Below are 9,909 nucleotides of genomic sequence, written 5' to 3'. Positions count from 1 at the left end.
GCCTCCTGAGTAGCTAAGATTATAGGCACCTGCCACCGTGCCTGGCTAATTTTTTTGTATTTTTTTTTTTAGTAGAGATGGGGTTTCACCATCTTTGCCAGGCTGGTCTTGAACTCCTGACCTTGTGATCCGCCCGCCTTGGCCTCCCGAAGTGCTGGGATTACAAGTATGAGTCACCATGCCCAACTCAAACTTCTTATAAATTCTGTTGACTCAAAGAATAGTTGTATAATCCTTATACCTAGAGAGCTCTTTAGACATTTAAAGGCATAGAAACGTTCTGGTATAGTCATATTGATAGACAGGACTAGCTGGATTTCCTGGGCAGACTAAGAATCCCTAAGCCTAGCTGGGAAGGTGACTGCATCCACCTTTAAACACGGGGCTTGCAACTTAGCTCATACCCGACCAATCAGGTAGTAAAGAGAGCTCACTAAAACGCTAATTAGGCAAAAACAGCAGGTAAAGAAATAGCCAATCATCTATTGCCTGAGAGCACAGGGGGAGGGACAATGATCAGGATATAAACCCAGGCATTCCGGCCAGCAATGGCCACCTGCTTTGGATCCCCTCGCTTTGTATGGGAGCTCTATTTTCACTCTATTAAATCTTGCAGCTGCACACTCTTCTGGTCCATGTTTGTTACGGCTGGAGCTGAGCTTTCACTCGCCGTCCACTACTGCTGTTTGCCTCTGTCGCAGACCCGTCACTGACTTTCACCACTCCGGATCCGGCAGGGTGTCTGCTGTGCTTCTGATCCAGCGGGGCGCCCAATGGGATAAAGGCTTGCCATTGTTGCTGCACAGTTAAGTGCCTGGGTTCGTCCTAATCGAGCTGAATACTAGTTGCTGGGTTCTACGGTTCTCTTCCGTGACCCATGGCTTCTAATAGAGCTATAACACTCACCGCCTGGCCCAAGATTCTATTCCTTGGAATCCATGAGGCCAAGAATGCCAGGTTAGAGAACAAGAGGCTTGCTGCCATCTTGGAAGTGGCCCACAACCATCTTGGGAGTTCTGAGAGCAAGGACCCCCCGGTAACAATATGATGTGAATTATTTGGTCAATTCTGATTATTTCTTCTCAAGACAATGCTTTGCTTCAAACCCCGTTTGTGGTGACCTTTCAGAAGGGTGACAGGACACAGGCATTACTCACAGCACAGTAGTTCCCTCTTATCCACAGGGGATAAGTTCCAAGACTCCTTGTGGATGCCCGAAACCCTTAGTAGAACCCAATCCTATATATGCTATGTTTTCTTAATACACACATCCCTATGATAAAGTTCAATTTATAAACTAGGCACAGTAAGGGATTAGCAACAATAGCCAGTACACTATTTGTGCTTTGGGATCATTATTAAGTGAAATAAGGGTGACAAACACAAGCAATGCGACAACAGGACAGTTGATCTGACAACCGAGACAGCTAAGTGACCAAAGGGATCCGCTGGACTGAGGGATGAGTCACACCCTGAGCAGGATGGAGCAGGATGACGCAAGATTTCATCATGTTACTCAGAACAGCGTGACATTTAAAACTGATGAATTGTTTAGTTCTGGAGTTTTCCATTTAATATTTTCAGATTGTGGTTGACCAAGGATAAACGAAACCACAGAAAGCAAAAACTAAATATGCTGGGACTACTGTATTCTTGCTTTCTCTCTCTACCAAATCAATAAATGTGAACTGGCGTCCATGTGCATTCTCTTACTGAGTTAACCAGGCTTGCAGATTTCCGGAACATTGGTACAAATAACAGGATATTATTTCTAAGGGAGCAAAACAAACATACACATGAGTTCATTTTGTATAAGTATAGATATATCCATTGTATATGTATAAGTATAGATATATCCATTGATTCTTCTCTTGAGTCATAATTACTTGTTTAAAAAATAAAATAAAATCAGATTCAAGTTGCAAGTCCTTGGTACTCCACTAAGCTACATATCCATTTAGAAAAGAAGAAGAGGGCTAATTGGGGGATACATTTCAAGACAGCCGAATAGGAACAGCTCCAGTCTACAGCTCCCAGCGTGAGTGACGCAAAAGACGGGTTATTTCTGCATTTCCATCTGAGGTACCAGGTTCATCTCACTAGGGAGTGCCAGACAGTGGGCGCAGGACAGTGGGTGCAGCGCACTGTGTGCGAGCCGAAGGAGGGCAAGGCATTGCCTCACTCAGGAAGGGCAAGGGGTCAGGGAGTTCCCTTACCTAGTCAAAGAAAGGGGTGACAGACGGCACCTGGAAAATCGGGTCACTCCCACCCTAATACTGCACTTTTCCAATGGGCTTAAAAAACGGTGCACCAGGAGATTATATCCCGCACCTGGCTCAGAGGGTCCGATGCCCATGGAGTCTCGATGATTGCTAGCATAGCAGTCTGGGTTCAAACTGCAAGGCGGCAGCAAGGCTAGGGGAGGGGCGCCCGCCATTGCCCAGGCTTGCTTAGGTAAACAAAGCAGCCGGGAAGCTCGAAGAGGGTGGAGCCCACCACAGCTCAAGGAGGCCTGCCTGCCTCTGTAGGCTCCACCTATGGGGGCAGGGCACAGACAAACAAAAAGACAGCAGTAACCTCTGCAGACTTAAATGTCCCTCTCTGACAGCTTTGAAGAGAGCAGTGGTACTCCCAGCACGCAGCTGGAGATCTGAGAACAGGCAGACTGCCTGCTCAAGTGGGTCCCTGACCCCTAACCCCCGAGCAGTCTAACTGGGAGGCACGCCCCAGTAGGGGCAAACTGACACCTCACACGGCCGGGTACTCCTCTGAGACAAAACTTCCAGAGGAATGATCAGACAGCAGCATTCATGGTTCACGAAAATCCACTGTTCTGCAGCCACCGCTGCTGATACCCAGGCAAACAGGGTCTGGAGTGGACCTCTAACAAACTCCAACAGACCTGCAGCTGAGGGGTCCTGTCTGTTAGAAGAAAAACTAACAAACAGAAAGGACATCCACACCAAAAACCCATCTGTACATCACCATCATCAAAGACCAAAAGTAGATAAAACCACAAAGATGGGGAAAAAACAGAGCAGAAAAACTGGAAACTCTAAAAAGCAGAGTGCCTCTCCTCCTCCAAAGGAATGCAGCTCCTCACCAGCAATGGAACAAAGCTAGACGGAGAATGACTTTGATGAGTTGGGAGAAGAAGGCTTCAGACGATCAAACTACTCTGAGCTACAGGAGGAAATTCAAACCAAAGACAAAGAAGTTAAAAACTTTGAAAAAATTTTAGACAAATGTATAACTAGAATAATCAATACAGACAAGTGCTTAAAGGAGCTGATGGAGCTGAAAGCCAAGGCTCGAGAACTACATGAAGAATGCACAAGCCTCAGGAGCTGATGCAATCAACTGGAAGAAAGGGTATCAGTGATGGAAGATGAACTGAATGACATGAAGTGAGAAGGGAAGTTTAGAGAAAAAAGAATAAAAAGAAATGAACAAAGCCTCCAAGAAATATGGGACTATGTGAAAAGACCAAATCAACGTCAGATTGGTGTACCTGAAAGTGATGGTGAGAATGGAATCAAGCTGGAAAACACTCAGCAGGATATTATCCAGGAGAACTTCCCCAATCTAGCAAGGCAGGCCAACATTCAGATTCAGGAAATACAGAGAACACCACAAAGATACTCCTCGAGAAGAGCAACTCCAAGACACATAATTGTCAGATTCACCAAAGTTGAAATGAAGGAAAAAATAAGGGCAGCCAGAGAGAAAGGTCGGGTTACCCACAAAGGGAAGCCCATCAGACTAACAGCTGATCTCTCGGCAGAAACTCTACAAGCCAGAAGAGAGTGGGAGCCAATATTCAACATTCTTAAAGAAAAGAATTTTCAACCCAGAATTTCATATCCAGCCAAACTAAGCTTCATAGGTGAAGGAGAAATAAAATACTTTACAGAAAGCAAATGCTGAGAGATTTTGTCACCACCAGGCCTGCCCTAAAAGAGCTCCTGAAGGAAGCACTAAACATGGAAAGGAACAACTGGTACCAGCCACTGAAAATCATGCCAAATTGTAAAGACCATCAAGGCTAGGAAGAAACTGCATCAACTAACGAGCAAAATAACCAGCTAACATCATAATGACAGGATCAAATTCACACATAACAATATTAACTTTAAATGTAAATGGACTAAATGCTCCAATTAAAAGACACAGACTGGCAAATTGGATAAAGAGTCAAGACCCATCAGTGTGCTGTATTCAGGAAACCTATCTCACGTGCAGAGACACACATAGGCTCAAAATAAAAGGATGGAGGAAGATCTACCAAGCAAATGGAAAACAAAAAACGCAGGGGTTGCAATCCTAGTCTCTGATAAAACAGACTTTAAACCAACAAAGATCAGAAGAGACAAAGAAGGCCATTACATAATGGTAAAGGGATCAATTCAACAAGAAGAGCTAACTATCCTAAATATATATGCACCCAATACAGGAGCACCCAGATTCATAAAGCAAGTCCTGAGTGACCTACAAAGAGACTTAGACTCCCACACGATAATAATGGGAGACTTTAACACTCCACTGTCAATATCAGACAGATCAATGAGACAGAAAGTTAACAAGGATACCCAGGAATTGAACTCAGCTCTGCACCAAGTGGACCTAATAGACATCTGCAGAACTCTCCACCCCACATCAACAGAATATACATTTTTTTTCAGCACCACACCACACCTATTCCAAAATTGACCACATAGTTGGAAGTAAAGCTCTCCTCAGCAAATGTAAAAGAACACAAATTATAACAAACTGTCTCTCAGACCACAGTGCAATCAAACTAGAACTCAGGATTAAGAAACTCACTCAAAACCGCACAACTACATGGAAACTGAACAACCTGCTCCTGAACGACTACTGGGTACATAACGAAATGAAGGCAGAAATAAAGATGTTCTTTGAAACCAACGAGAACAAAGACACAACATATCAGAATCTCTGGGACACATTCAAAGCAGTGTGTAGAGGGAAATTTATAGCACTAAATGCCCACAAGAGAAAGCAGGGAAGATCCAAAATTGACATCCTCACATCACAATTAAAAGAACTAGAAAAGCAAGAGCAAACACATTCAAAAGCTAGCAGAAGGCAAGAAATAACTAAAATCCGAGCAGAACTGAAGGAAATAGAGATACAAAAAAACCTTCAAAAAATTAATGAATCCAGGAGCTGGTTTTTTGAAAGGATCAACAAAATTGATAGACTGCTAGCAAGACTAACAAAGAAGAAAAGAGAGAAGAATCAAATAGATGCAATAAAAAATGATAAAGGGGATATCACCACCGATCCCACAAAAATACAAACTACCATCAGAGAATACTACAAACACCTCTAAGCAAATAAACTAGAAAATCTGGAAGAAATGGATAAATTCCTCAACACATACACCCTCCCAAGACTAAACCAGGAAGAAGTTGAATCTCTGAATAGACCAATAACAGGCTCTGAAATTGTGGCAAAAATCAATAGCTTACCAACCAAAGAGTCCGGGACCAGATGGATTCACAGCCGAATTCTACCACAGGTACAAGGAGGAGCTGGTACCATTCCTTCTGAAACTATTCCAATCAATAGAAAAAGAGGGAATCCTCCCTAACTCGTTTTATGAGGCCAGCATCATCCTGATACCAAAGCCGGTCAGAGACACAACCAAAAAAAGAGAATTTTAGACCAATATCCTTGATGAACATTGATGCAAAAATCCTCAATAAAATACTGGCAAACCCAATCCAGCAGCACATCAAAAAGCTTATCCATCATGATCAAGTGGGCTTCATCCCTGGGATGCAAGGCTGGTTTAATATATGCAAATCAATAAATGTAATCCAGCATATAAACAGAACCAAAGACAAAAACCACATGATTATCTGAATAGATGCAGAAAAGGCCTTTGACAAAATTCAACAATGCTTCATGCTAAAAACTCTCAAAAAATTAGGTATTGAAAATGGCCATACTGCCCAAGGTAATTTATAGATTCAATGCCATCCCCATCAAGCTACCAATGACTTTCTTCACAGAATTGGAAAAAACTACTTTAAAGTTCATATGGAACCAAAAAAGAGCCCGCATCGCCAAGTCAATCCCAAGCCAAAAGAACAAAGCTGGAGGCATCACACTACCGGACTTCAAACTATACTACAAGGCTACAGTAACCAAAACAGCATGGTACTGGTACCAAAACAGAGGTATAGATCAATGAAACAGAACAGAGCCCTCAGAAATAACGCCGCATATCTACAACCATCTGATCTTTGACAAACCTGAGAAAAACAAGCAATGGGGAAAGGATTCCCTATTTAATAAATGGTGCTGGGAAAACTGGCTAGCCATATGTAGAAAGCTGAAACTGGATCCCTTCCTTACACCTTATACAAAAATTAATTCAAGATGGATTAAAGACTTAAACGTTAGACCTAAAACCATAAAAACCCTAGAAGAAAACCTAGGCATTACCATTCAGGACATAGGCATGGGCAAGGACTTCATGTCTAAAACACCAAAAGCAATGGCAACAAAAGCCAAAATTGACAAATGGGATCTCATTAAACTAAAGAGCTTCTGTACAACAAAAGAAACTACCATCAGAGTGAACAGGCAACCTACAGAATGGGAGAAAATTTTCACAACCTACTCATCTGACAAAGGGCTAATATCCAGAATCTACAAAGAACTCAAACAAATTTACAAGAAAAAAACAAACAACCCCATCAAAAAGTGGGCAAAGGACATGAACAGACACTTCTCAAAAGAAGACATTTATGCAGCCAAAAAACACATGAAAAAATGCTCATCATCACTGGCCATCAGAGAAATGCAAATTAAAACCACAATGAGATACCATCTCACACCAGTTAGAATGGTGATCATTAAAAAGTCAGGAAACAACAGGTGCTGAAGAGGATGTGGAGAAATAGGAACACTTTTACACTGTTGGTGGGACTGTAAACTAGTTCAACCATTGTGGAAGTCAGTGTGGTGATTCCTCAGGGATCTAGAACTAGAAATACCATTTGACCCAGCCATCCCATTACTGGGTATATACCCAAAGGACTATAAATCATGCTGCTATAAAGACACATGCATACGTATGTTTATTGTGGCACTATTCACAATAACAAAGACTTGGAACCAACCCAAATGTCCAACAATGATAGACTGGATTAAGAAAATGTGGCATATATACACCATGGAATACTATGCAGCCATAAAAAATGATGAGTTCATGTCCTTTGTAGGGACATGGATGAAATTGGAAATCATCATTCTCAGTAAACTATCGCAAGGACAAAAAACCAAACACCGCATATTCTCACTCATAGGTGGGAATTGAACAATGAGAATACATGGACACAGGAAGGGGAATATCACACTCTGGAGACTGTTGTGGGGTGGGGGGAGGGGGGAGGGATAGCATTAGGAGATATACCTAATGCTAAATGACGAGTTAATGGGTGCAGCACACCAGCATGGCACATGTATACATATGTAACTAACCTGCACGTTGTGCACATGTACCCTAAAACTTAAAGTATAATAATAAAAAAAAAAGAACAAGAGGGCTAATTGCTTTCAATGGGTAGTATGCTCATGACAAGATTACCAAAATTCCAGCACCATTTACACTCTTTCTTGTTTTGTTTTAAGAACATATTTTTAACAGGGAAGACACACACAGCATTGATTATCATTTTTGTGATTCAAACATCAGTTTGTTTATCCTTTGGCTGAGAGAGAGAAATAGGTCAGTAGTTAACATGCTGAAATCTGAAGCGTATCACATGCTGTTGTGCAAACAGTAGACATTCAGTAAGTACCTGTTGAAAGGGTAAAAACATTTTCAGTAAAGAGTAAGTTGTTTTCCTGAAATTACAGTTTAATGCAGTCAAAAGCACAATACTGATTTTAAAGTGAACATATTATATGTTTATAAAGTAAACATTTATATTCTACTCTGTAATTGTTTAGTTCTATTACTGTTTAAGTCATTTTCTTTCTAAGCCAAGACTTTTATCTGATAGCCAAGCTTGCAGAATCAAGTAAATGGACTTCCCCTTCTGCCAATGAGGGAGTTACCTAACCCTTTACAGGGAAAACCGGAAAACGTTCCTGCTATAAAACAAAATGTAGTAAGGTAACAGGTCTACAGTGGCCAAAAGTGATGAAGAAACTTCAGCCAGAAAGGTAAGAATGAGCTGGTAATGCTAGACAGTGCTACAGGGTTTTATTTGTCTTTGCATACAAAAGGCTACGATCTTAATGACCACATGAGTAACAGTTGAGGCCTGGAGTCTTTCTGAGAAAAAGGAGATGCAGCTGAGGCTCCTGAATCAAGAAAGGCGCCCTAAAGTTTTTCCCCTCTACAAAGGGTATACTAAACACTGCCATCCAAAAGAGGGAAAGAGGCTGGGTACAGTGGCTCATACCTGTAATCCCAGCACTTTGGGAGGCCGAGGTGGGTGGATCACTTGAGGCCAGGAGTTTGAGAGCAGCCTGGGCAGCATGACTAAACCCCATCTCAAAAATACAAAAATTAGCCAGTCTCTTAATCCAGTCCCCCAAATAAATAAACACATAAAAGAGGCATAAACTACTATATTCAATTGTCTGGAGATATGTAAGCCAAAAACCTAACAACAAAAAAATTGCTGCCAAGCTGGTAATATCCTTGGTAGAAGGAAATTAAAATCTGTTCAGGAGATTGTACAAGATTCCCACCCAAAAAACCCGCTTAAGTTCCCCTTTCAAAATCTGCAAACAAAGAAGGAAACTCTAATCAAATCGATCTACACAACACATGATGGGAAGAACTCAGGTAATAGAATTATCACAGATTTTTTTTAAGTATGTTTAAATTAAGAGAAAAGAAAAATCGGATATCTGTAAAACTAATGACCCATAGAAAAGGATTAAAAGATTTTATTAAAGGCTAATAAGGACTAAAAAGAAAAAGATTTGAAAAAGAAAAATAGAATTTATGTAAATGAAAAATGTAGTTATTGAAACTAATGCTCAATGGAAATGTTAAAGAGAATATTAGACACAGCTGAAGAAATAATAAGCGTTAACTTAAATCTAAGGAAATTGCACAGAAGGCAAGATAATCAGTGAAAAACACCATGAAAAAGAAGTTAAGAAACGTGGAAACGAGAATTAGAAGGTCTAATGTAGTTCTAATATGAGTTTTAGAAAGAGAAAGTAGAAAAAAATTCGGGAAAAAGAATTCAAAGAGACAATAATATCTTAAGTTTTCTCAGAAATGACAATAACTGAACGCTCTTAGTTTCAAGAAGAAAAGCCCAAACAGGATTAACAAACATTTTCCCATTCCCAGCATAGGAAATTTGCATTCAATAAGTTGTGCTACAATAATTGGTTGTTCTTTTGGAAAAATAAAATAAAATGAGGTCCCTATCCCACACAGTTTTCAAAATTCAACTGCAGGCAGGTTAAAAGCTAAATGAAGAAAACAAAACATTTAAAACATTAAGAAAAATATTGGAAAATAGCTTTATGCGGTCTCACGGTATGAAAAATTTTATAAAACAGAAAAATGTTCAAATAACGAATGTTTTGTTAATTGAAAAATAACTTTTTTTTTTTTTTTTTTTTTTGAGACGGAGTCTCGCTCTGTCGCCCAGGCTGGAGTGCAGTGGCACGATCTCGGCTCACTGCAAGCTCCGCCTCCCGGGTTCACGCCATTCTCCTGCCTCAGCCTGCCGCGTAGCTGGGACTACAGGCGCCCGCCACCACGCCCGGCTAATTTTTTTGTGCGTTTTTTTTTAAGATAGGCTGGAGTGCAGCGGCATTCCCAGGCTCAAGGGAGCCTCTCACCACAGCCTCCCCAGTAACTGGGACTACAGGTGCATGCCACAATGCCTGGCTAAATTT

At 41.1% G+C, this 9,909-nt stretch overlaps 3 annotated features.

Moving 5' to 3' along the window:
• Window positions 838–2,037: an enhancer, noted in NCBI's record as "MED14-independent group 3 enhancer chr10:23800961-23802160 (GRCh37/hg19 assembly coordinates)". NCBI's record gives its function as "activates an origin of replication core promoter dependent on BRD2, BRD4, P300/CBP and CDK7 cofactors, and independent of MED14, by STARR-seq in HCT116 cells {active_cell/tissue: HCT116}" and the evidence as "EXISTENCE:reporter gene assay evidence [ECO:0000049][PMID:35650434]".
• Window positions 838–2,207: a biological region, named in NCBI's record as "MED14-independent group 3 enhancer GRCh37_chr10:23800961-23802160".
• Window positions 1,939–2,207: a silencer, noted in NCBI's record as "fragment chr10:23800791-23801059 (GRCh37/hg19 assembly coordinates)". NCBI's record gives its function as "represses an EF-1alpha promoter that drives an FKBP-Casp9 reporter gene in an ReSE screen in phorbol 12-myristate 13-acetate-treated (for megakaryocytic differentiation) K562 erythroleukemia cells {active_cell/tissue: K562(+PMA)}" and the evidence as "EXISTENCE:reporter gene assay evidence [ECO:0000049][PMID:32094911]".

The sequence above is a fragment of the Homo sapiens genome, chromosome 10, assembly GCF_000001405.40.
Source record: "Homo sapiens chromosome 10, GRCh38.p14 Primary Assembly".
NCBI classification, from domain to species: Eukaryota; Metazoa; Chordata; class Mammalia; order Primates; family Hominidae; genus Homo; species Homo sapiens.
This window is presented reverse-complemented; position numbering and strand designations above follow the sequence as displayed.